This window comes from Homo sapiens, chromosome 9 (genome assembly GCF_000001405.40).
Source record: "Homo sapiens chromosome 9, GRCh38.p14 Primary Assembly".
In the NCBI taxonomy this organism is placed as follows: Eukaryota; Metazoa; Chordata; class Mammalia; order Primates; family Hominidae; genus Homo; species Homo sapiens.
The window spans coordinates 72600129-72627828 of NC_000009.12; the positions used below are offsets into that span (position 1 = coordinate 72600129).

The 27700-nt window shown below is 40.3% G+C and overlaps 1 protein-coding gene across 2 annotated transcripts in view; it reads left to right on the plus strand.

Moving 5' to 3' along the window:
• The window catches only part of TMC1 (transmembrane channel like 1), a 316690-nt gene that overhangs the window by 78521 nt on the left and 210469 nt on the right, over nucleotides 1-27700 (plus strand). The window contains exons 1-2 of one of the 2 annotated variants that reach the window (XM_017014256.2): nucleotides 7629-7797; nucleotides 16240-16349. In XM_017014256.2, the coding sequence (XP_016869745.1) occupies nucleotides 16331-16349 (19 nt within the window). In that variant the 5' untranslated portion in view covers nucleotides 7629-7797; nucleotides 16240-16330. Of the gene's footprint in view, nucleotides 1-7628; nucleotides 7798-16239; nucleotides 16350-27700 lie in introns of those variants that run through there. The other variant, NM_138691.3, reaches the window with a different exon arrangement.

Here is a 27700-nt window from a genome sequence, read left to right on the forward strand (position 1 = left end):
TGGTGGCATGATTACAAGTGCACTTTAGAAAAATCTCTATGGCAGCAATGTGGAGGATGAAGTAACAAAAATATACACTTTGGTTCATTTTGTTCTAAATGGCAACTTTACCTTTAACTGTGTACAGAGCTTACTGACTATACTCAAGCAACAAAATGCACACTTGGAAATCCTGTGTCACGTGCCTATACTAGCTTTGTCGCTGATTCAGCATATACACATCCTCCAGTGTGACAGGATTGTGTATGGAAACAGGTAAGACTGGTGAATACTAGGCTGTGTTCAAGTGTAGAGTCTCATGATTATCACCAATACTGTGGGCTCTCCCTCTTTTAGATGAGTTTTTCTACCATATCTTTGGCTTTACAAAATATATTAACACAGTTTCATAATAGATCTCTTGGAATATGGTCGTTTGGTGTTAAGCATTCTATCTGGCAAAATGAAAAATAAGATGGTAAGAGTTATCCTACAAAAATCCTAATGTTCTCAAGCTACTGCTGAAATTCTTTTTCTAGTAATTTACAAAAAAGTCCCCATTTTCTTGTAGAAATAAGCCAATTAAAAAAAGAAAAAAATTAAAATAAAAAATTAAAGTTCTTAATGATAAATTATATTAAAATTTATTTCCTGTTTTACCCTATATCCTATGAGCGTGGTTCTCAAACTTCGTTCAGTGCATACCAGAATCATCATGTGCGCTTGTTAAACAGAGGTCTGGGTTCCACCCCCAGAGCTTCTGATTCACTTCATGGAATCTGAGAACTGGCATTTCTGACAAGTTCCCAGGGGATGCTGAGGCTGCTGGTCCAGGGACCACACACTGAGAAATATTGTTCTGAAATAATAACAGCTAATTTTTGTTAGGCAGTTTCTGTGTTCCAAATACAGGTTGAATATCCCTTATCCAAAATGCTTGGGGCAAGCTGGGTGCAGAGGCTTATTCCTGTAATGTCAGCACTCTGGGAGGCTGAGGCAGGAGGATTGCTTGAGACCAGGAGATTAGGACCAACCTAGGCAACATAGCAAGACACTGTTTCTACACACACACACACACACACACACAGACACACACACACACACACACACACAAATTGCCAGGCATGGTGGCATATCCCTATAGTCCCAGCTACTTGGGAGGCTGAGGGAGGAGGATCACTTGAAACAAGGAGTTTGAGACTATCCTGGGCCACATAGTGAGACCCTGTCTCTACAAAAAATATTTGAAAAATTGGCCAGGTGCGGTGGCTCATGCCTATAGTCCCAGCACTTTGGGAGGCTGAGGCAGGTGGATCATTTGAAGTCAGGAGTTCAAGACCAGCCTGGCCAACATGGTGAAACCCCGTCTCTACTAAAAACACAAAAATTAGCTGGGCAGTAGTGGTGGGCGCTTGTAATCCCAGCTACTCAGGAGGCTGAGGCCAGAGAATCGCTTGAACCCAAGAGGTGGAGGTTGTAGTGAGCTGAGATCGTGCTCCTGCACTCCAGTCTGGGTGACAGAGTGAGACCCTGTCTCGAACAAAACAAAACAAAACAAAACCAAAAAAACCAAAACAAAAAACATATTAGCTTGGCATGGTGGTGCATTCCTGTAGTTTCATATACTTGGGAGGCTGAGGCAGAAGAATTGCTCACGCCTGGGCCTTCAAGGTTAGAATGAGCTGTGATCTCACTACTGCACTCCAATGTGGGTCACAGAGCAGGACTCAAATGAAAACAAAACCAAAACCAAAATTCTTGGGACCAGAAGTATTTCAGATTTCAGATTATTTTGGATTTTGAAATATTGGCATGTATCTAATGAGACATCTCAGGGATGGGACCCAAGCCTAAACACAAAATTCATTTATTTTTCATATACACCTTGTATACATAGCCTGAAGGTAATTTTATATAATATTTTAAATAATTTTGTGCACCTGTCACGTGAGGTCAGGTGTGGAATTTTCTACTGTGGTGTCAAGTCAATGCTCAAAAAATTGCAGATTTTGGAGAATTTCAGATTTCAGATGTTTGGATTAAATGTGCTTAGCCTGGACCTTACTTGTTGTAGCTCGTTTAATCCTCATGGCAATGCTAGGACACAGGTGGTTTTAGTATAATATTATTACAAATGAAGAGCCTGAGACTTGAGAAAGTAAGACAACACACTCCAGGTCACTCAGCCAATTAGTGGTGAGCAAGAATTGAACCCAGATTTGATATGCGAATGACTTGCTGTGATTCTCCTATTGGTGATTTTTTTTTTTTTTTTTTTTTTTTTTGAGACAGGGTCTTGCTCTGTCACCCAGGCTGGAGTGCAGTGGCATGATCTCAGCTCACTGCAGCCTCTGCCTCCCAGGTTCAAGCGATTCTCCTGCCTCAGCCTCCTGAGCAACTGGGACTACAGGCATGTGCTACCATGCTTGGCTAATTTTTGTATTTTTAGTAGAGATGGGGTTTCACCATGTTGGCCATGTGGATCTCGAGCTCCTGACCTCAAGTGATCCATCCGCCTCGGCCTCCCAAAATGTTGGGATTATAGGCGTGAGCCACTGCACCCGGCCCCTTATTGGTGTATTTTTATTTCCCAAGTATGACACCTGTTCAGAGACTTTGGAACCCTGAGAACATTTTGTTGGTGTGTTTTGTGACTAATATTGCCTTTTTCTGAGATGAATGCTGTTCTTTGAAAAAACATTTGTATTTTTAGATAGAAATGTACTTCATCCCCAGTGAATATTTCTGACTTTAGAGAAATTGCCAAACCTGCTGACTCATAACAAAAATAAAGAGCATCTACTATTCAGTTTATGGCTTTTAGTTTTGGGAGGTGGTAGGAGGAAGGATAGATTACCACCCACTATAGATCATTTTATTTTCATTTTATTTTAATGCCATTTACCAGTATTGTGTATATGGAGGTGGTCTTGAGAGCTTTGTGGAGATTATTTTTTCAATAGTACAGATGGCTCTGATAAATATTTAAGGCATCTTGGGAAACAAGAATACCATCCTGACTCAGGAGAAATTGGTCACGTAAATCACTTTGTTTCAAGTGCTTTGGCCTCTGAGCATCTCAAATGGACACATACTTCATTGGCTTATTAACTCATTGCCGGAGTCACTGAAGGCCCAAACTACAACTTCATGCCTGACCACACACCAAGGCTTTTTTATTGCTTAGTTTTCTGGCTCTTTGCCTATTCTGCTCTCCCTACCCATAACCATGTGAGTATCATGTCCAGCAAACTAACTTACTCCTTCTCTCTCCCCACTACACACACACACACACACACACACACACACACACACCACACTCCACACGCACACATACACAGAGCATTTTTCATGGGTATGTTGTCAGACAGATTTCTCTGTTCTGAAGGCTCATCTCCTTAGAGAACCTTACCGTGTCAATGTTGCATTTAGTTTAGTTTAGTGTTGTTGTTGTTGTTGTTGTTGTTGCTGTTTTTAAATCTTGCTCTGTTGCCCACAGTGGCGCGATTTCAGCTCACTGCAACCTCTGCCTTTTGGGTTCAAGCAATTCTCCTGCCGCAGCCTGCTGAGTAGCTGGGATTACAGGCCCCCGCCACCATGTCCAGCTAGTTTTTGTATTTTTAGTAGAGACGGGGTTTCACCATGTTGGCTGGTCAAGTCTTGACTTCCTGACCTCGTGATCCACCTGGCTTGGCTTCCCAAAGTGTTGGGATTACAGGTGTGAGCCACTGCGACCGGCTGTTTTTTTTTTTTTTTTTTTTTTTTTTTTCTTTTTTGAGACGGAATTTCGCTCTTGTTGCCCAGGCTGGAGTGCAATGGTACAATCTTGGCTCATTGCAACTTCTGCCTCCTGGGTTCAAGCAATTCTCCTGCTTCAGCCTCCCAGGTAGCTGAGATTGCAGGTGCCCACCACCATGCCTGGCTAATTTTTGTATTTTAGTAGAGATGGGATTTCACCATGTTGGTGTTGTATTTAGTTTTAACACTGTTATCTTCTCAGATTGTAATGAGAGAACAGGCTATCATCACTTGGTGATAAAATTTCCTGTAATTATAATCTCATTCTCAAAGATAAAACATTGATACCTAATGTGCTTTTAACTTTAATGCCAATTTATCACAATGGAAGACATTTCAAATAAATACTGTTTTTTTGTTCATAAGGTCTTAAAAATCTTGAATATAACTGCAAAAAAGCATTACATGTTAAAAGAAATCACAAAATTAGTTAAGAAAGGAGCCAAACTGAAAGAAGATTATATTTCTATGCCCTTGAATCTTTACAAAATTTAGTAAAAACTATTAATATAGAATTATTTACAAGAGACTTCTCTATTTACCAGCCCAATATCTTCACATTTCTACAATCTAAGGGGAGGTGATTGTGGCCAGAAAAGTTTCTGGGCTCTGGTATTGCAGTTTTCCTGCACTTACCACCATCCGGCATGTTATATATTTTACTTATTTTTCTTGCTTATTGCTGTCTCTTTCCACAAGTTCCATGAGCAGAGACAGTTTATCTGTGTTTTTTACGGCTATTCTCAATGTCTGTAACAGTGTCTAACGTACTATAGTCATTAAAGAAATGCTGGTTGGGTGAATTCAGAAATAAATTAGTAAATAGGTGAAGCATGTTGGTTTAATATTCATCATCAGAACTTAAAAACAGTTTAAAGAACCTCAACTGAGTTTTGTACAATAAGTAGTGACAAGGTGGGACAGAGGTAATTTCTTTGTATCTCTGAGGCTTTCCATTTCATGAGGAACATAGAATAATATGTGTTTCCAAATGCAGTGTTCAATATCTGAAGAGTATATATCATCAGTATAGAAAATAGACAACACATGTTAAAGGGAATGTAAAAATTCTAGATGATTTTTAAGGTATGTATGGTTTAATCAATTGTTTATATGCTATTCTCTTCTCTTAAAATGAAATAATGCGAATGAAAAAATAAACCTTACAGGTAGTTTCTGGGAAATTCAGACAACAAAATTGTCTAACATACGCCAAAAACAATATAGCATTTAATGATGACATGGATTCCGAAAGACAAATCACTGCTCATCATATTACAAGGAATCCAAACAACTGAGGGGTTATCATTTATCTATAGTTGCATAACAAATTACCCTAAAATTTAGCAGCTTAAAACAACAATTTATTATTTCATAAATTTCTGGGGATGAGGAATCCAGAAGCAGATTCACTGGGTGGTTCTGGCTCAAAGTATCTTATTTGTTTGCTAGGGCTGCTGTCACAGAACACAACAGCACAGGTGCCTTAAATAACAGAAACATGCATTCTGGAGGCCAGAAGTCCAAGACCAAGGTTTCCTCTGAGGTCTCCGTCCTTGGATTGCAGATGCTTGTCCTCTTGCTCCCTCTTCACATGGTTGTCCCTCTGTGCACATGCACTTCTGTGTCTCTTTTTGAGTGAAAATTTATAAGCATTCCAGTCAGATTAATTTTTTTTTTTTTTTTTTGAGATGGAGTCTCACTCTGACACCCAGGCTGGAGTGCAGTGGTGCAATCTTGGCTCACTGCAGCCTCCACCTCCCTGGCTCAAGTTCTTCTCCTGCCTCAGCCTCCCAAGTAGCTGGGATTACAGGCATACACCACCACGCCTGGCTAATTTTTGTATTTTTAGTAGAGACGTGGTTTTGTCATGTTGCCCAGGCTGGTCTCGAACTCCTGGCCTCAAGTTATCCACCTGCCTTGTCCTCCCAAAATGTTGGGATTACAGGTGTAAGCCATTGCACCCTGCCCCAGTCAGATAAAATTTTAATCTCACTTTAACTTAATCACTTCTTTGAAGGCCCTGTCTCCAAATATAGTCACATGAATTAGGGCCAAGCTGTATGGCTTCATTTAACCTTAATTACTTCTTTAGAGGCTCTATCTGCAAATGCCTCCACATTCTGAGGTGGTGGGGGGGTTAGGATGTCAACATATGAATTTGAGGGGGCACAATTTAGCCCATAGACACCTGTCATGAGGTTGTAGTCAGCTGTCAGTTGGGGCTGCAATCTCATCTGATGGATTAACTGGGGAAAGATGGGCTTCCCAGCTCACTGGTGTAGTTGTTGGCAGGCCTCAGTTTCTTCTCGCTGGAGACTTCAGTTCTTGCCATCGGCTTCTCCACAGGTTGTCCAGATTACCTAATGACATAGCAGCTGGCTTCCCCAAAAGCATGGAATGGGGGTTGGGGATGGGATAAGAGAGAGAGAATCCAAGACAGAATGCACAGTCTTCTTATAACTTAGGTTTAGAAATAATATATCAGTACCTCTGCCACATTCTGTTGGTCACACACACTAACCCTGGTAAAACATGGGAGTGAACCATACAGGGGGAACTGGGGTCATTGGTGGTCATCTTTGAGGCTGGCTATGGTAATTAGGTAAAAATAAAAATTCAGTCTGCAGAAACGTATGTACTTATGTTACTTAAAATATTTTAACCAATTAGTGAAAAATGACTTTGAAGTATTTTTAGCTGCTATAATAATTGAGTAGGAATTATTTTTTCTTGGATTGAGTTATATTTACTATAAAAATACTTACTTTTTTTGTCAAACACATTTATAAGTGCTGCAAATATTAGTGACCAATGGTCTATTGCTCTAAATAAAAAGCACCAGGAGTTAGTATAGTAGTTGACTCCAGCCTCTGGTGCTAGACTGCCTGGGTTTGAATATTTACTTTTGCACTTACAACTTGTAACAACTTGAACAATTTATTCAATCTCTCTGTTCCCTAGTTTTCTCATATGTCAAATGGGAGAAACAAATAACATCTGCTTCATATGGCTGTTATGAAGGCTAAGTAGGTTTATATATATGTATGTATGTATGTATGTATGTGTGTGTGTGCATATATATATATATATATATAGAGAGAGAGAGAGAGAGAGAGAGAAAGAGAACTTAGAATAGGGCCTGGCACAGAGAATATGATAAAAGAATATTATTTGTTTCCTCTTTTTATCATCCAGAACATGGTGTAATGCCCAATACATTGTAGATACTCAATAAATGTTTTTGTATGATCCCTAAACATTGTCTGTAAGGAATTTACAATGGAGTTTACAGTAAAAGGTGGTACATGGTAGGTACCATGGAAGCATTACAAACAGATGACCATGTGAATCTGAAAGAAGCACAGATTGATTTCTTCGTCATAAAACATGGTTGTATTTGAGCTAAAGCTTAGAACTAATGAAGATTATTGCCAGGCGTGGTGGCTCACGCCTGTAATCCCAGCACTTTGGGAGGCCGAGGTGGGAGGATCACAAGGTCAGAAGATCGAGACCATCCTGGCTAACATGGTGAAACCCCGTCTCTACTAAAAATACAAAAAATTAGCTGGGTGTGGTGGCGGGCGCCTGTAGTCCCAGCTACTCAGGAGGCTGAGGCAGAATGGTGTGAACCCAGGAGGTGGAGCTTGCAGTGAGCCGAGATCGCGCCACTGCACTTCAGCCTGGGCGAGAATGCAAGAGTCTGCCTCAAAAAAAAAAAAAAAAAAAGAGTATCAATGTATCAAAATCATTATTTTAGGCTGGGCATGGTGGCTCACATGTGTAATCCCAGCACTTTGGGAGGCTGAGGTGAGAGATCACTTGAGCCCAGGAGTTCAAGGCCAGCCTGGGCAAAATGGTGAGACCCTGTCTCTACAAAGAAAAAAAAAAGATTATTATTCCCCAAATAGGAAATAACATAAGCAAACGTCCCCTATTTCCCCCACGATGGAGCTGGAGCATGGTGTATGAGAAGGAGAGTCAGAGGGAGCAAGAATGAAGGGGTCAGGTTGGTACCAGGTAATGAAATCATTTTAACATAAGACTACATGATTTGGACTTCATTGTGTGGTCACTTCGGAGCATTTTAGCAACAAAATAATGTCTTAGGAAGATTAATCTGGTCCAATTGTAAAGTAAATTGAGATTCAGGCTTCAGGCTTGGCTTGATCCAGGATTCAAATAAAATCACCAAGAATCTGTATTTCAGATCTGCTTTTTTTGTGTGGCTCTGCCTGTGGCTCCATAAGAAGCACAGAAAAAAGAGAAATGGTCTGTTAAACAGAAAAAGTGAAAAAGCTTCACTCCCAGAAAATATCTTCTTGCATCTCATCGGCCTGAGTTCACTCATGTTCGTATTCTTCAACAAATTATCATGTCCAGGATATGAAACGGCTGCTTGGATCCAGGCACACTGATAACGCTGATACCACACCTAGAAAAAGAAATGAATTTCATTCAAATTCCATTCTACTATTTTAAGGTTTCATGTCTAGATGGCTGGAGATTAAGTGTTGCAGTCCAGGCGTGGTGGCCCACGCCTGTAATCCCAGCACTTTGGGAGGCCGAGGTGGACAGCTCACTTGAGGACAGGAGTTTGAGACCAGCCTGGCCAACATGATGAAACCCCATCTCTACTAAAAATACAAAAAATAGCCAGGCTTGGTGGTGCGTGCCTGTAATTCCAGCTACTCGGGAGGCTGAGGCAGGAGAATCACTTGAATCCAGGAAGTGGAGGTTGCGGTGAGCCAAGATGGCACTACTGCAGTCCAGTCTGGGTGACAGAGACTTCATCTCAAAAAAAAAAAAAAAAAGTAAGTTTTGCAATTAGGAGACATGCCTATAATGTTTATTTAGTGGTGATACGTATGGTTTAGTCCTTTAATTATAGTGTGGTTTAAATGCAAATTTAAAGTAACTCAAATACAGCTATTTTTTCTCACATCATAGGGAGACTATAAAGTCCCTCAGTAATCATTCTTCAAATAGATATTTTTCTTCTTTCATCTACTGCCTTCACGACTGCAGTCACTTTCTCCAACAGTCTTTTCTCCAAATAAAAACAAAAACACCACTACCACCACTACCAAAAATCTCAAGTACCTGCTATCTCTGATCTTTCTCATCTGCTAATATTCTCTTCCTCCCTTACTCCCCTCCTCTTTTCTTCCTTTCCTCCTTCCCCATCTCTCCATCTCACACCTCCCTCTCTTCCTACCTCCCTTTCTTTCAACCTTTTCCCCTTCTATTCTTCCTTCCCTCGCTTCCTCCTTCCCTTCCTTCCTTCCTTCCTTCCTTCCTTCCTTCCTTCCTTCCTTCCTTCCTTTTTGCTATTAAAAATTCCTCAAACTGGCTGGGTGTGGTGGCTCATGCCTGTAATCCTAGCACTTTGGGATGCCGAGGTGGGTGGATCACTTGAGGTCAGGAGTTTGATACCAGCCTGGCCAACATGGTGAAAACCCGTCTCTACTAAAAATACAAAAATTAGTAGTGTATGGTGGCACCGCACCTGTAGTCCCAGCTACTCAGAAGGGTGAGGTGGGCGAATCACTTGAACCCAGGAGGCAGAGGTTGTAGTGAGCCGAGATCGTTCCACTGCATTCCGGCCTGGGTGACAGAGTGAGTGAGACTGTCTCAAAATAACAACAACAACAAAAACAAACTGGCAATGCAGGACTTCCTTGAAAGACAGAGGAAAGGAAAAGATTAAGAGAAGTTATACCAAAACTCTTTTTAATAGGTAGGCAGGGAAAAAATTGGGAACCTTTATACATCAATAATTTTATTCTCATAATACTTGGAAATCATGACTAGCTGTTGCTCTTCTTCAACATCTAACTATTATCATTTCCACATCTGATTCAAGCACTTCCTTTTTACATGTCTTTTTTTTTTCTTTGCCTGAAATATTATTTCCTTCCATCAAATTAACCTTTCTGCCCACCTGGCAACCCTCTCTTCTTCAAGCCTTACTCATCAAGAAGCCTTCCCTAGCAACAGGGAAGGCTCTGCTACCAATCCCACCTTTATGCTCTCTGGACTACCACTTTGTCTTGTACATTTCTATTAAATTGTAACTTTTCATTTTTGTTACACATCTATTGACTCTACTGCTCAGTGAACTATTTGAGACCAGGACACCATTTTGCATACCTAGCACAATACCTACCACATAGTAGACATTTCATAAATCCTTATTGATTGAATAAATCAATGATGAATAACATTTTTATAAATTTCATTTTGTATTTGAGTTGAAGCTCCAAGTATTACACCCTGTTAGAGATTTTAAACTTGATTTTTAAAATATTGGACTAGAGCTTAAAAGAAGATTATATTAGTCAGGGGTCTCAAGAGAAACAGAATCAATAAAGTATACATTTATTATATAATTCATTATAAGAAATTGGCTCACATGATTGTGGAGGCTGACAAGTCTCAATACCTACAGTCGGCAAGCTAGAGACCCAGGAGAACCTATGGTGTAGTCCAGGCTCATTCCAAAGGCCTAAGAACCAAGCGAGCCAATGATGTAGTTCTAGTGTGAAAACCTGCAGGCTCTAGACACAGGAAGAAGCCAATGTTTCAGTTAAAGTCCAAGGGCAGGAAACACCAAGGTCCCAGCTCAAACATAGTGAGACAGAAGGAATTCTCTCTTACTCAGCCTTTTGTTCTATTCAGGCTTTCAACAGATTGGATGAGGCCCACCCACAATCTGCTTTACCCAGTCTACTGATTTAGATGTTAATCTCATCCAGAAACACCCTCACAGACACACCTAGAATAATGTTTGACCAAATGTCTGGGCACCCTGTTACCCAGTCAAGTGGATGCATAAAATTAAACACCATAAAGACTAAAGCCTGTAGATGAATATCTGGTAACACCTCACAGAGGAGAGACCTAAAGCTGTGATAACGTCTCTGAAGCCAAGAGAGAAAGGCTAGAAAAAGCAAGATCTGGGATATTTCCTTAGAATCCTTGCCTGAAGGCCAAGAAGATGAGGAAGTTAATTTTCTCATCCAGAGTGGTGGTATCGAGCTAGAAAATTGTGAAGATCTTTCTAGTTCTAAAACATCTGTTACCTCCTTACCTTGGGGTTTCAAGACTGGGTAAATGGAAATACTAAGATAATTGGATGATGTAAGAAGATTTTGGATGGGAACAATATCTTGTTATGCACCAGTTGTATGGAAACTACTTATTTATAAGATTTAAAATTCTACGTATATTCCTTCAGGAAATGTTGTCGGCTTTCTACAAGATGCAGCTTTAATTGTATTATTGGGAACCATCATTGATTATTAGGTTCTTTGGAGAAATTTCTTTCCTTCAATTAGAAGCACCCATGAAGGATATGAAGAAGAGTTGGTCAAAGAACTATAAGAAGATCATAGAATGTACTGCACTATAGAAGCCAAAGGAAGAGGTAAATCAAGAGGCAAGAAATGATGGAAAGGTATTTTGCTATAGAGAGGTAAAGGTTGATAAGACTTGGGAAAAAGGCCATCGGATTTTACGATTAGGATATTAAGGACAAGTTTCAGCCAAGTCATGAGAAACTGAGCATCAGTTAGGTCCCTGTTGTTTGATATTATGACAATGTGGTGGATTTAGTAATTAGAGTCTTTCAAAATTGTCTGTTAGTGCTTTGCAGCTTGGGGGCATGAGCAGAGAAGGTAGGGGGCAGGAGGAATGGGGAGCATGTCTGTGGCTGAGAGTTGAAGGCTTGAATGGTAAGAGTAGGCTTGAGGATTGTGGCTTGTTAGAAAAGACAGCATTAAAATATCTGAACATGGGACTTTGTTTTTAGAAAGGATACAAATGAAGTTAAAAGCCAGAAGAAGGTCTTGGGTGGGATTTTCAAGCTGCATTCCTTGGAGTCTTGAATCGTGGATTAGAGAAAAGACCACCCTGTGTTGATCTCAGTAGCTTCTCCTGTTAAACATCACAGCACATGTGCTTTGACCAGTTTTGTATATTAAGGCTCTATGTGGCTATCTTCTGTCCCGCTCTGTCCCCCACGGCCATTCTCTTTCCTTCACCATGCTGCTCTATGACCCGGGAGGCTGACCTATATGGACCATATCAGTGGGCTGCTTTGCCCTCCTGCTTCTGTTTGGATTTTGCCCTTGGGGAGCACTTGCATGAGCTTGCAGGGAGGGAGAATGAGAGGCAAGGTATAATCTGCTGTGACCTACAGGGTCATCAGGATCCTTTCCCCTTCAGGCCTAGAGTTGGTAATAATGCCCAGCTTTCTTAGGCCCTTGAAATTTCTCTATACCCTGCTATATCTGTTCAATTGCCTACATAACTTAACCAGTGTATGCTTACTACTCACTGCAGCCTTGATCTCCCTGGCTTAGGTGATCCTTCCACCTCAGCCTCTTGAGTAGCTGGGACTACAGGTGTGCACCACCATGCCTGGTTAATTTTTTGTATTTTTTTTGTAGAGACAGGGTCTCACCATTTTGCCCAGGCTGGTCTTGAACTCCTGGGCTCAAGCAATCCTCCCACCTTGGCCCCCCAAAATGCTGAGATTACAGACAAGAGCCACCACTCCCGGCCCAAACATTTTTTTTTTTTGTAAAAAGCCAGGCAGTAAATATTTTTGATCTGTGAGTTATACAATCTGTGTTACCACCACTTAACTCTGCTATCTCAGTGAGAAAACAGCCATAGATGTTAAGTAAGTGAATGAATGTAGCTGTGTTTCAATAAAACTTTATTTACAAAAACAGGCAGTGAGCTTTGCTTTTGGCCCATAGGCTATAATTGAAAGACCCATGATCTAGGACAAGAAGTTTTCCATCTACTCTATGAGAGTGGTTCTCAATCTGGGATAATTTAGCTCCCTAAGGGACATTTGTTAATTTAAGACATTTTTGGTTGTCACAACTGGAGGAGTAGTGCTACTGGCATCTAGTGGATAAAATCCAGGGATACTGCTAAACATACTGCAATGCACAAGACAGCCCCCACAACAAAAATTACCCTGCCCAAAATATCAATAGTGCTGAGGTTGAGAAATGCTGGTCTTGAAGATGTTAAAAAGATTGTCAGTTTGTTCATCATATCGCTGTGGCTTGGCGAAAAGAATCACAGAGTTAATTTTATAACTATGAAGGATTGTTAGGAGCTGAGTTTTTTTCTAGTTCTTATTTTTTAATTATTTTATGATACTTTTCATAAAAAGTGGTGTAAGTTGTGTTTATTCAGAAATGTGATTTTTTTTTTTTTTTTTTGATGGAGTTTCGCTCTTGTTTCCGAGGCTGGAGTGCAATGGCGGGATCTTGGCTCACTGCAACCTCCGCCTCCCGGGTTCAAGCGATTCTCCTGCCTCAGCCTCCTGAGTAGCTGGGACTACTGGCCACCATGCCTGGCTAATTTCTGTATTTTTAGTAGAGATGGGGTTTCACCATGTTGGCCAGGCTGGTCTTCAACTCCCGAACTCAGATGATCCACCTGCCTCGGCCTTCCAAAGTGCTGGGATTACAGGTGTGAGTCACTGCTCCCAGCCCAGAAATTGATGGTTTCTTTAGCAATTTTGTCACCCATCAAGTCGTTAGTCATATTAATCCTCCATAACTTAGTCTTTTTGCCCCCTGATTATCTTTTGGGTGGGCAGTGAAAGTATTCATACCTCTTTTAGCAAAACCTATCTCTTCTTGGATTTCCTTTGCTTGCTGATTAAGAGGAAGGACTATCTGTGAAAGACTCAGATGTGGCTCAATGGAATGAATGTGAGAATGGTATGAGTGTGGGTGGTGGGTGCTGTGGGGGTCGGAGATGAGTGGCTGAACCATCCAAAAATAAGAATACTGACAAGCGTGTTTTCTTGTGTGTGTGTGCGTGTTGTGGGAGGAGTGTAACTGATGTGGCTAGACAGGATTAACGAAAGTCTCAGGAGTTGAGAGAGACTGGGGACATTTTACCAATGGCGAGAAGGAGGAAGGATGACAGCTGGGAAAATTAGTGATTGGAAAAGGTAGGCTGGGCAGTGTGGCCATGAGCTAGTCCTTTTCATTATATTCTTCTGGGGCTCTATGTTTAAAACTAGATACTTTAACATTTCAGAATGAGAAAGAGAGGAAAGGATGGTAACTGATATGGGCTATTATACTGTGAATTTTAAAGGAGCCTATATATTATCCTAAAACTATTGAACCTGAGCAGAACTGCAACGTTGGTATTCTTGAACTGAACTGATATTTCCTTTGACTAATGTCCTTGTTCAATGACCAGAGACCATGACACTCCCCACCTTCACCCCCACACATTGTTTGTTTGTGTCCAGTTTGAAGAACAATGACACATGGAGGTCAGTGTTTGGATGATGTCATAATTTTGATCAGCTGGAAAGCCTGGAGTGGCCTTGAAGAGATGCTTAACTTTTGGAAATCACTTCTTTATTGCAACCAAAGCTATTAAGTTTAAAGGTCCATAAAGATGAGATAAACAGTCATAAAGGCCTTTTGAAATTCATACTTAGTGTGTTAAATGGATTTAATTGCTGTTAGTTAAATGTGGTGATGTTAAAGCAATGTCTATACACTGGCAAAAATCAGATCATCAACTGCTTAATGAGGGACACGTCTTGAGAAAAACAGTGGAAGAAATGCTGCTTATATGTAATTTGTGATTAATTTTTGCAAGGTTTTCAAGGGAATAACTTGGCCTTAAAATATTACAGTGAAAAACAGCTTTATACTTGGGTCCAATCTTCTTAAAATTAGAGTTCATTTTTGCTATTAGACACCTTTTATTACAGGATAACTTTTTCTTCCCCCTTGGAGACAGAGTCTTGCTCTGTTGCCCAGGCCAGAATGCAGTGGCGTGATCTCGGTTCACTGTAACCACCGCCTCCCAGGTTCAAGTGATTCTTGTGTCTCAGCCTCCTGAGTAGCTGGGATTACAGTGCCTGCCACCATACCTGGCTAATTTTTTGTATTTTAGTAGAGACAGGGTTTCATCATGTTGCTCAGGCTGGTCTGAAACTCCTGAGCTCAGGCAATCCACCCGCCTTGGCTTCCCAATGTGCTAGGATTACAGATGTGAGCCACTGAGCCCAGCCAGTTATAGGATAGCTTCTAAACTTACAATCCTTGAAATATCATTTTAGGATAATTCTGATCCTGCATACCAGTGAAATAAGTATAATTGAAATATTAAACCAAATTTGGCTTCAACATTAAACCAAAATTAAACCAAATTAAGCCAGTATGTTAAATACATAGTTTAATCTTAATTCTAGTTAATATTTTTCATTTCCTATGTGTCAGGCAATATACTAAACAACTTACATGTATTACTATTTTAATTCTCCTGGTAAACTGGAGGGGTGTGCAATTATTGTCATCTCCATTTTATAGATGAAGAAAACTGAGTCATAAAGAGGTTATGTACTTGGCTGAAAGTCACACAGTCAGTGATACTGTTGGAATTTGCACCCAGACAATTTAATTTTAGAGCCTATTTTCAACCACTCTCTGAGACTGCTTTCCTTTTCTGTACTTTTGATGATAAATGTGAAAAGATAATTTTGAGGGCATTATGGTGTATTGGATCTTAAAAACCCAGGTAATAAGTCCCATCTATAGTACAAATAAGCTGCGTGATCTTAGGGAAATCACATAACTGCTTCTGTAAAATGAGAGATTACATTAAGTTATTTCCAAAATGTCTTTTCGACTTCAATGTGGTGATTCCATAGTAATGTATAGGTTTTTAAAAAACCATATCCTTCAATCAAATGGTCATCCTTTAGCATTAAGTTGTTTGGAATAGATACTCCCCAAATTCACAGAATAATTTTCCAGCCTCTCTTTTTGCTTTGACACCTTTCTTATTTTTTTTTTTTTTCTTCGAGATAGGGTCTCACTCAGTCGCTCGGGCTGGAGTTCAATGGCACGATCTTGGCTCACTGCAACCTCTGCCTCCCGGGTTTAAGCAATTCTTGTGCCTTAGCCTCCTGAGTAGCTGGGCTACAGGCGTCCGTCACCACACTCAGCTAATTTTTTTTAATAGAGATGGGGTTTCACCATGTTGGTCAGGCTGGTCTCGAACTCTTGACCTCAGGTGATTCCTCGGCCCTAGCCTCCCAAAATGCTGGGATTACAGGCGTGAGCCACCGTGCCCGCTATTGACCCCATTTGTTGATGCTTAGGGATGAAAGTGGAAACTCCACTGCTAAAACAGAGAATATTACTTGAGTCATTCCTCTGTCATATATGGGATGTTTGCCAGCATGGAACATTCACAGAAATTATAACTGTAAAGGCCCTAGCAATGATTTAATGCCGTCTCTTCACATTATAGTTGGGGAAGCTCAAACTGTGACAGGGTCAGGGACAGGTAAAATTCACAAAGTTGGTTTACAGCAGAACTGTGCTACAGTTATCTGGATTCAGATCCAAGTCCCCTCCAAATGAATCACAACCACTTCTACCTTTATAATTCCAGGCCATGAAAGATCACTGTTTTAGTCTGCGTGGTGCAGTGGAACAGATAGACCTCGGTTTGAATCTCAGCTCTACTGTTTACTAGACATGAAATGGGGAAATCTAAAATGAGTAAGTATACACAGAAACACACATTACATACATATATGTAATGTTCAGGATCATTACACTGAACTTTAGGGCTTAGTACTAATGTACAATCAAGGTTGTGTTAGTACTGAGCAGTATATCTTTTATTGTTGAAGTCCAATAAGAACAGAGCAGATATCAACCTAATTTGTAAGTGATGCATTTTCCTAAACTAAATGCCCAATAATGGAATGGGCTAGAATATTGCAGGACAGGGCTGTGAATGGAGGAAAGCAGTTGGAAAATCAATCCTTTTAAAGGCACAAAAGGATGAATGAACCACATTCCCAAGAACCTGCTCCCACCCACTGCTGTTCCCACCCCCGCTGTAGTTGGTAGCATGTTCACAAGGAAGGAGCTGGCTAGCTTTCATGGGAGCCACATCATCCATCAAATCACATTAGTGTTGTTGATTTGAATGTTGTTTCCTTTGTAGGTCTGCTTGCTTTGACTTTGTAAAATTGTTTAGTCTTGCCATTATTATATAAGGACTATAATCATAAGGCATTTATATTTCATTTTGTATTATGTATTTAAGCAAAATTAAGTTAAAAATTAGACAGAGATATATAGGATGATTTTTCCTTCAAGAGTTATTCATTTATTTCCTTTTGGATATGAAAAACGCTTATGCAGTCCTGTATGTGGTCTCTCTCTCTTTTTATTTTTATTTATTTATTTTTTGAGATGGAGTCTTGCTCTGTTGCGCAGGCTGGAGTGCAGGGGTGCTATCTCGGCTCACTGAAACCTCTGCCTCCTGGGTTTAAATGATTCTCCTGCTTCAGCCTCCTGAGTAGCTTGGATTACAGGTGCCAGCCACCATGTCCGGCTAATTTTTTTGTATTTTTAGTAGAGACGGGGTTTCACCATGTTGGCCAGGCTGGTCTTGATCCTGACCTCAAGTGATCCGCTTGCCTCAGCCTCCCAAAATGCTGGGATTACAGGCATGAGCCATTGTGCCTGGCCTGTGGTCTCTTTTTAAATGTTTGAGATTTTCTCTGACCATCACATGATGGCAGCCGCAAGTTGTAAATATATTAAATGAGATAATACCAAATGGCATAAGACCACTGTGAATTCAGTGATGTTCCAAAATAACTTGTATTTTATTCATCACACAGGCATTTATATAAATTAAAAAATAATAGCACCTGAAAACATGAAAATAATTGTATTCAAGGTTATTTACTGCAGCATGATTTTTAAGAGAAAAGACTGGAAACAACCCAAATGTCCACTAATCGAGACTGTGTGAACCCAAGATGTTATAGCTGCATCACACAGCTGAGAGAAGGAATAAGATCTATTTCTACTCACTGCCAGTGGTAATCTCCAGGAAGCGCTGTTAAGTGAAAGAGCAAACTAGAGAAAATGTGAATAGTGGTTACCATTTACCCAAGAAGTCTATGTGTGGTGTGTGTGTGTGTGTGTGTGTGTGTGTGTGTGTGTGTGTGTATGTGTGATTTCTAGAGGGACAGAGGAAAAAGGTGAAGACAAGGATAGGAGCGAGACTTCTCTGGGTACATCTTTTTTTTTTTTTTTTTTTTTTTTGAGACAAAGTCTCATTTTGTTACCCAGGCTGGAGTGCAGTCGCTTGATCTCAGCTTACTGCAACCTCTGCCTCCGGGGTTCAAGTGACTCTCTTGCCTCAGCCTCTCGAGTTGCTGGGATTACAGGTGCCCACCACCACGCCCGGCTAATTTTTGTATTTTTAGTGGAGACTGGGTTTCACCATGTTGGCCAGGCTGGTCTCCTGACCTTAAGTGATCCACCTACCATGGCCTCCCAAAGTGCTGGGATTATAGGTGTGAACTACCATGCCTGCCTGTCTGGATCTCTTTTTAGTACATTTGACTTTGAAGCCAAGTTAGTATTTTCCATAATTAAGAAAAAAATAGAATAAAAAAGGAACAATTTCTAAAAAGGAAGTCAAAAGAAACACATTAAACTAACTGTAAGTTGAGTTGGTAGCATAACCACACAGACAGAAATTATTTCAAGTGACTTTAACACATACTGATGTGACTGTGCATCCCTATCGAGATAGAAATAAAGGTAAATATAAATAAAGGTAAAAATAAGCAAGATATAAATAAAGTTAAAATGAACTGCAACAATCCTGAATAGTTTTCAATAATTATATCATAAATAGTAATTTTGGTATTGTTATTTTAAAACAGTTATATTTATAATACATATGTTAATGTAATCATGTTTATGCTTATCATAACATATGGATGCACAGCTATTAGGATAATGTATAAACATGATTATGTTAATGCCATTAGGGACCAAGATTTCAGAGAAAAACAAAGAAAAATATAAAATTAAAGAAGCCAGTAAAAATGTTATCTTAAATTTAAACTGGAAACCTCAGTATAAACTCATAATGTGTTTTCTTTTAAAAAATTATTTTCAAATTCAGTCTCCTGAATAGAACTCGCAACAATTACCAAGCCAGTAGCAACGACAATAAACAGCCCTAGTGCCCAGATGGTGCTCTCCAAATGCCATTTTCCACTAAAAGGAATGAGGGCTCCTTGGAGAATTGGATGTTTTCAGATACAGAGCAGAACACATACAAAAAGTTCCTGGAACATTTGTCATACTGAAAAGCAGATACACTATGAAAGACTATAGTAATTGTATCAAAAGAACTCAGGAGCCACCATGAAGAGGCCCCCAGTGTCCAGAAATGGAATAATGTGAACATTAAGAATAATAAATCTTAATTTGTCAAGATACAAATTTAATCATATCGTAGATACTCATAGCAGCATTATTTAAAATAATGAAATATTAGACACAACTTAAATATTCAAAACTAGCAGTGTGCCCTTATATATAGAAATGTCATTTAAACCTTGTAGAAGAGAAGTTTATGATTTAGGAAGATGTTTACAATATGCTGTAAAACACACACAACAAGTCATAAAATATTATGCATGCAGTATATTCCAGTTTATTTTAAATGATCTAGGTATAAATATCCATAAAAAGAAAACTGAATGAATAAATGGTGAAATGTGAATAGTTGCTATATCTGTGTGGCAGGATTACAGGTGGTTGTATTCTAGTTTCTCTTTATGTTCCAATCTTCTACAGTTAGCATGTATAATTTTATATTTTTTTAATACAAAATATGTTATTTAACTAGTATTTACTAAACAAAAAATTAAAAATTAATATATTTTATAAAAACAAAAGCATATGAATAGAAAAGTACATTATTTTTTAGGTTATAGACAATGCTTGTACCTGTGTTTAGGGATTTGATCCTCCAGGTAGGAAACTACAGATCTAATTTAACTTATTTAATTAATTAATTAATTAATTAATTTATTTATTTATTTACTTTGAGACAGAGTCTCGCTCTGTCACCAGGCTGGAGTGCAGTGGTGTGATCTCGGCTCACTGCAACCTCCACCTCCTGGGTTCAAGTGATTCTCCTGCCTCAGCCTCCTGAGCAGCTGGGACTACAGGCATGTGCCACCATGCCCAGCTAATGTTTGTATTTTTAGTAGAGACGGGGTTTCACCACGTTGGCCAGGATAGTCTCAATCTCTTGACCTTGGAATCCACCCACCTCACCCTCCCAAAGTGCTAGGATTACAGGCGGGAGCCACTGTGCCTGGCCTAATTTAAAAAATTTTTAAGTCACCAAAAAGCAAAGTGACATGCTCAAGTCCATTATTGCCAAGCAAAGAAAAAAATGTCAAAAGTACAAAATGTGGTTATGTTTTAAAAATTAGATTATTATTATTAAGATAGGATCTGGCTCTGTTGCCCAGACGGGAGTGCAGTGGTGTACTCATGGCTCACTGAAGCCTTGACTTCTTGGGCTCAAATGATCCTTTCACCTCAGCCTCCTGAGTAGCCGGGACTATAAGGCAGGCACCACCATGCCTGGCTAATTAAAAAAAGAATTTTTTTTTTGTAGCAATGAGGTCTCACTATGTTGTCCAGGCTGATCTTGAATGCCTGGACTCAAGTGATCCTCCTACCTCAGCCTCTCAAAGTGCTGGCATTACAGTCCTGAACCACCATACCTAGCCAGATTTCTATTACTTTGACATGGTCCTGGATACTTCATCTATGTGTGCAAAATTTCGTACTTATCTCTTAAATCTGGAGAAAAATGGCCAAATTTGGTATAGTTGAATTTATCATGGGGTGATTAATAAGTGACTAAAGATTGACCTTCAAGGATCTGAAGATCTGACCAGTGTAGATTTATAGTAATTATAGTAATTACATGGTACCTCCAGGTATTTTCTATACATTGCCGTAGTTAGCTATGAAAGGATGTAAAGAATAAAGGCAATTGACTATTTTAAAGAAATTAACCTCAGAAGGAGATTCTTCACCTAAATGTCCCTGCAAATATTATTGCTTTATGCTCTGAGTTAGCTGAAAATGAGTTTACTATGCCTGGTGTAAACACTTGCACCACCCACCTGTGTCAAAGAACTTTTCACTAACTGCATCATGACTGATTGACGTCAGTCTACTTGGCAACCAAGTGAGCCACTTAGAAGAAGGCTCCCCTTATGAGGTTAATTTCTTTAAAATGGTGAATTGCCCTTATTCCTTATGTCTTTTCATAACTGATTACACAAATGTATAGAAAATACCTCTTGAGATACAATACAATCTGTAACTAGTCATCAGAGAATAACACGTTATTGTAACACAGATTTAGCTTGGCCATAAAGGGCATATTTACATACACATTGAAAACAACTTTAATAAAATGAAAAACATATATCCTTGGATTCTTAGCAATTTAACAGCAATGCTCTCAGGGGATCAAGCTACTATTTATTGACTCCCCCTGTGTGCCTTACACGTAATTACTGACCCTCACAACATCCCTGGGAGTTAGTGTCTTACAGGAGACCTTTGACATTTGTGAGAGGACATCGTGAATATTTTCCAAGTCCTCAATCCAAAAGTGTGGACATAGCTGTTGGTTTTCCTGAATTGTATTTCTTTCAAGAATCAAATGTTGCTTGTGAATATTCTCATGTAAGATTAAAAAAAATCTTTTCCTGACTCTTAGAACTTTAGTTTTATCTCTGCTTTGAGAGCCACTTTAATAAGCAAACTAAAATCACTCTACAGAAAGGCTGTACAGCAAATGAGTAGAGAACAAAAGCTGGCTAAACTGGGCAGTCAGCTAAGATCACTCAGTGTCTGAGAATTTGTTCTAGAAAATCACCCTCCGAGAATCATGCAGATTGTGCTTAGGCTTCCTTCATATATTCATACTCTCCTCGGGTGAACATAAATTGGCACATTTATAAGGAAATTTTATTATTATATACTCAAATATTTTTAAACATATAAATAGTTTGTCTTGTTAATTCTACCTCTTGGAATCTATCCTAAGGAAAATAATCATAAGATATCTGCAAAGAATTATTTGAATGTTGATAATAATTTTATCTATAACAATAAAAATTTGCAAGGTGGCAGATATCAGTTTATGTCTCTGAGCTCCAAATCCACCCTTGTTTATCTTGCTTTGTGTGAATGGAGCTGGACCCTGTGGATCTTTCTCTTTTGCAAATTTGGGGGATATTCAACTTTGTCAATTGAGGGCACTGGAGAGACCCTGCAATGGAATAGAGGCTCCAGGTGCACCTACAGGCCATCTTTCCCTACCAGCAGCGATTTCAGAGTAACTTCAGCCTGTCCATACCCTCCAGCAATGGTGGGTCACTTCTATAGATGAACTCTGGCCCACCCGCAGCACCAAGCAAAGGAAGGTCACTCCTGTACACCAGCTTCCAACCACTCTCATCCACCAGTGATGATAGATTGCTTTTATGGATCAATGCCAGCCTTTGCACTCAGTCGTTTCTTTGTTCCTGCAGGCTGCCTGTGGTAGTTACTATCTCTCTGAAGAGGTCTGAATCTCAGCCTTGGGGCAAGGAGGGCTTGTCCTCATCCTTAGTGCCTTTACTGTTCTTCTTCCTCAGCCTAGAAATAATAGCTCCTTTTAAAATTCTTGATGCCTGGGCCTCTTAGAGTCCTCCTTTATATATCTTTTAGTAGGTAATTTTTGGAACATTAAATTTTCCCTGTTCAAATAATTATCATAGTTTTTGTCTTCCACTTGGACCTTGAATGATACAAAAGTTAAAGGCTCAACAATACCAGACTTGTTAAATAAGTAGGGAGCTATCCACACACTGGCATAAAATTGTTTTGATTATCTATTATTCCCTTGGTGAGGTGACCCAGACCCTTGTTTGAAAGCGTTTTATTGGCTGGGTGTGGTGGTTCATGCCTGTAATCCCAGCACTTTGGGAGGCTGAGGTGGGCAGATCACCTGAGGTCAGGAGTTTAAGACCAGCCTGGCCAATGTGGTGAAACCCCATCTCTACTCAAAAGTACAAAAATTAGCTGGGTGTGGTGGCGGGTGCCTGTAATCCCAGCTACTCGGGAGGCTGAGGCAGGAGAATCACTTGAACCCGGGTGTCGGAGGTTGCAGGGAGCCGAGATTGTGCCACTGCACTCCAGCCTGGGTGACAGAGCGAGACTCCATCTCAAAAAAAAAAACAAACAAAAGAAAAACAACAACAACAACAAAAGAAAAAACAAAAATGAAAGAAAGGGTTTTATTTGTCTTCTCTCTCTCTCCCTGTTTTTTTTTTTTTTCTTTTTTTTTTTTTTGTCTCATCTTTGCTGTAATTGCTCATTTGCTAGGGTCATTGGACACAGAGATACCAAGATGTCTTCAGAAATCATGAATATTCCCCAAGTCCTCTATCAAAAAGTGTGGACAGAGCTGTCGGTTTTCCTGGGGTTTAGACATGTTCTTTCTTGCTTCTGTTGTGTAGTAACCCTAGCTCCTCAAGGAAATCGTGGTCTATGGGCTCTGCCAAACAGTAATTCCTTTCTTTGCTTGCTGGCTCACTGGCTTGAGGAACTCAAAGTAATCCTTTGGTAATTTCAGCTTCCAGGTCAGTGGGGACATTAATGTGTTTCTTGGTAGAAATGTCACTCTACTCCAAGAAATAAGATCTTTAATCCAGAAAACCTGAGTTTTCAGGGACAGAATGCACAAACTTTTATGGTCATTCACTGGGAGTTCTAATGAGCAGGTTCGATCATATTTCTATTCTTTAGTTCCTCGACCCATGCATTTTAGCTACTGGGCGGCGAACCATGTATCAGCTGTTAGTGCTGTGTGTATTCCATATCATGAAGGTAATTTCCCAGGCCCACAACGTTTTCTTCCCAAGCTGGTGCCGTAACTGAGCCTTTACCAGGCTATTCCATCATTTTAGGTGTTTCTAGGGTATAGAGTAAATGATAAGACCAGTGACTCCCATGATAAATGTGCACCATGGTGAACTTCCTTTGCTGTAAAATGTCATCTTGGTCCTAGTCTATATCGTAAGGGGCACCATACTGATAGACCAGGTACTGGTGAGCCCTTGGATGGTGGTACTGGTAGAGGAACTGCAGGAAGAAAAGGTAAATCCATACTCAGAATATGTGTTGATTCTGGTAAGGACACGTTGCTTTTCCCTCCAAGACAGATGGTTCCGATAGATGGTTGTGTAGCTACCCTCCCTGAGGAACGGTACTATGTCAAGGTCTTGGCATCAGATTCCGTGGCTGACAGGTTGGAAATTTAGCATTGACAGTAGCTGAATTATCTTTTGTAAGTGGGAGCTCAAATATGACCATGCATAGCACCATAGTGATTGCAGCACTAGAGACACTATTTATGGGCTTTCCTGCACAAGAACTGGGGTGGCTAAAGACGGCCCGGCTAAAAGGCAGGATGGATCATCCTGAGCACATGGTTGTTGAGAGTCTTCTTTGCAGTCGGGCGGTAGTGTGAGATCTGCTTTGTGTTTATTTCCGTAGGGTTGTCCACATACATTTTTTTCCCCACACCTTTTCTCTGAGCTTCAAATCTTTTTTTCTTGTCCTGTCGAAATGGCCAAGCCATTCACTACTGCTTAGAAGCCAGTGCATACTTAAGGATCTGGTCTTTTCTTCCATATGAAATGAATAACTAAGTGTGTTGCTCATAGTTTTCCCCACTGGGAGGATTTCCCTTTACCTCTCTTCTTTGGGGCCACCTCAAGTGAGGATGAAATGCAACAGCAGACTATCTCTGGCTAGAGGCAATAAATCACACTAGCCCAATTATGCACCAGGCCTGAGCTGTTTCCTCCACTACTGATTGTTTGTAGGTAGCAGTTGTGGGAGCTTCTGTGGAACAGATTCAGGTGGTACAGCTGCTCAAACTCATAACTCACCTGCAATGTGTTCTGAAAATGTGTGGCTTAACTGCATCTACCCTAAAAGAACAAGTTGGTGAGTGATGAGATGAGTGGGAAGTAGTGAGGATGACCTGGATTTTCCATTGAGGAAGTGGCCAAGTCCTGCGGACAAATTGTACCTAGGAAAAGGTACAAAAACAGGAGAATGGATCATGCGTTCAGTATTGGAACTGATGACTATTAAGTTGCTGTGGGCATCTGAATATAGATGTTGTGATGGTTTTAAAACATGTCTGAAAATTCTTTGACACTGTTTCCATCAAGAGGTGATGTCTTTGTCTCCTCCCCTTGAATCTAAATGGGCCTTTGTGACAGATCTGATGAATAGAATGCAGGAATGTGATGTCCAAGGCTAGTTTAGAAAAGACCATGTTTGTTTCTCTGGAGACACTTGCTCTGGGAGCTATTAGTGTCCTTCCACCAAAGCCCCCCAGGAACACCCCTGCAGCTAAACAAATTGGATTTATTGCTTATTGTAGCAAGACAGAACATTCACCAGGGGGAACCATAGGTTATCTCAGTAAGAGGGTTTTAGAAAGAACCTATTATAAGATTTGGGCTTTGGTTGGGTGATTTGGGGGAAGGTTTAAGGAATCAGGGGTGGCCAGGCACGGTGGCTCACGCCTGTAATCCCAGCACTTTGGGAGGCCGAGGCAGGTGGATCACGAGATCAGGAGATCTAGACCATCCTGACTAACACGGTGAAACCCCGTCTCTACTAAAAATTCAAAAAATTAGCCGGGCGTGGTGGCGGGTGCCTATAGTCCCAGCTACTCAGGAGGCTGAGGCAGGAGAATGGCGTGAACCCAGGAGGCGGAGCTTGCAGTGAGCTGAGATCGCGCCACTGTGCTCCAGCCTGGGTGACAGAGCGAGACTCTGTCTCAAAAAAAAAAAAAAGAAAAAAAAAAAGGAATCAGGGGTTTGGTCTAGATTGAATGCTCTCAGAAAATGGGAGTAATTCTAGGGTTGTATATTTTATAGGTGGCATAGTGACCTTGTTTTGTCTGTCCTTACACAAATGATGAAGTAGGCTGATTTTGTTTCATTTTATCTTGGTCGCAGAGTAACTTTGTCTGAGGTTGGTGTTCTATAAGATTGTATATGTCCAACAAGAGAATGACATGGCTTAGCTGTGAATGTCAGATCAGTTCTGGATATGAGAGGCTGATATTTTCTTTTTGAGCTTTCAGTTGTCATGTAAGGAGTGTGGCTACCATGAGGCCACTGCATAGAGTGATTGTATACCTATATATAAGAGAGATGGTTTGGAGTTCAAGCCCCCAGCTAGTCAAGTCTTCCCAGCCCAGGAGACAGATGTTCGAATGAAGGAGACTTAGGTAATTTCAGCCCCAGTCACTGTCTGACCACAACTGCATGAGAGACCCTGAGGGAGAACTGCTTTGCTGAACCCAGTCAACCTCCAGATTTGTAAGTAAAATAAATGGTTATCATTGATTGAAGTCACTGTTCTAGGGTGGTTTTTCCTACAGTAATGTCATTGATACAGGTGTCTGGCAGGCAGTTGGCTCTAGAGGTCTGGAGCTAAGGAGAAAGATCTGGCTTGGAGATGTGGATCAGGAAGTCCTTTTACAAGGAGAAAAGTGCTTGAAGTCATTTGAGTGGATGACATCACCTGAAAGATAATATACATTGAGAAAGAAAAAAATAAAAAGCCAACAATAGCACCTTTAGTAACAACACTGAAGAGAGCAGGAAGAAATAAAGAAACATTTGCAAGGAGACAGAGAAGGAGTGAATAAGGTGATCAAATGGCATCCATCCAAGAGATGATGTCCAGGAAGCCAAGAATGAGAGTATTTCAGAAAGAAGAGTGTTGTCCACAGAGTTAAATGCTATGGAGAGAGATGGAGTAAGACAAGATTGATTAGCACCAATGAGCTTTCATTGTTGACAAATGCAGTTTGAGGGAAACTGGGGGCTAGGGAGTGATGGGGCAGAGACCAGAATGCAGTGGGGTAAGGAGGGGTAAGAAGATGAGAAGAATGCCAAATCTGTGCTGTTTGCCACATCATGGGCCCTCTCTCCATACTATTTATGTGTGTATAATTTTTTTCTACAATTTAATAATGCATTAAACCATCACATCACATCACATCACAAACCCAACAATTCCACAATAGCATGGGTAGATCATACCCTGGTGTATTTTTAATGTTATACTTTAACCGGTAGTTTTGAGTCATAAATGTACTACTATGTTGTTGGTTTTTTTTTTTTTTTTGGGTCTGTCATTATAGTAATAACTTTAAATCTCTTATTGTTTATTTCTCTTGCAATTAAAATAGTTCATCATTTAAAATAGTACCCAGTGTTCAGTGTCCATTGGTGCCTTGTAATTACTTCAGAAAAACAGTCTCAGTTTAAAAGTTATAAACTCTTAATGCCTCTCTGCAGGAGGAATAGCTTCCTTCTGCCAGAGCGGTCTGGGGAGCATTATTCTAGTCATACCCTGCTAATTCATTGGCTTGATTGTCAGGGGTCCTGATCTAGTTCACCCTCCTGGGAGGCTGGTGTGGGACCCTGCTTATCCCAGTGGGGGTCAAGGCCTCCTTGACAACAGTGAATGGGTTGCTAGGAGGCTGCGGAAAGAAATTTCTCTAGTTCCATCCACAAGTAGATCCCACTGCAGTGGCCTCATTTGGCTCCTCTAATCCTCTCTTTCCCACCTTCTTTCAGGGCAAGTCTCACCCTATTTTCTTCATTACTTGCTTGTGGTTTCCTTGCCGGAGATGCTTGGAGGCAAGCATTATGACAAGGATGGGCGCGGGTGGGAGTAAGGCCTTTAAACGAAGAGCTACATTTCAAAGAACTTCAAATGTGTATTTCAAATGTCACTTCCAAATGAGGTTGTACACACAGACAGAAACGCAATTAACAGATTTGGAAGAGGCCACGTAGCATGCATTTGAAACTCCTGTTGCATTCCTTGGCTATTCTTGTCTGTGGCATCTTTTTAACAAATCCTGTAGTTACCTTGTAAATACCATCATAGAATATATTGTA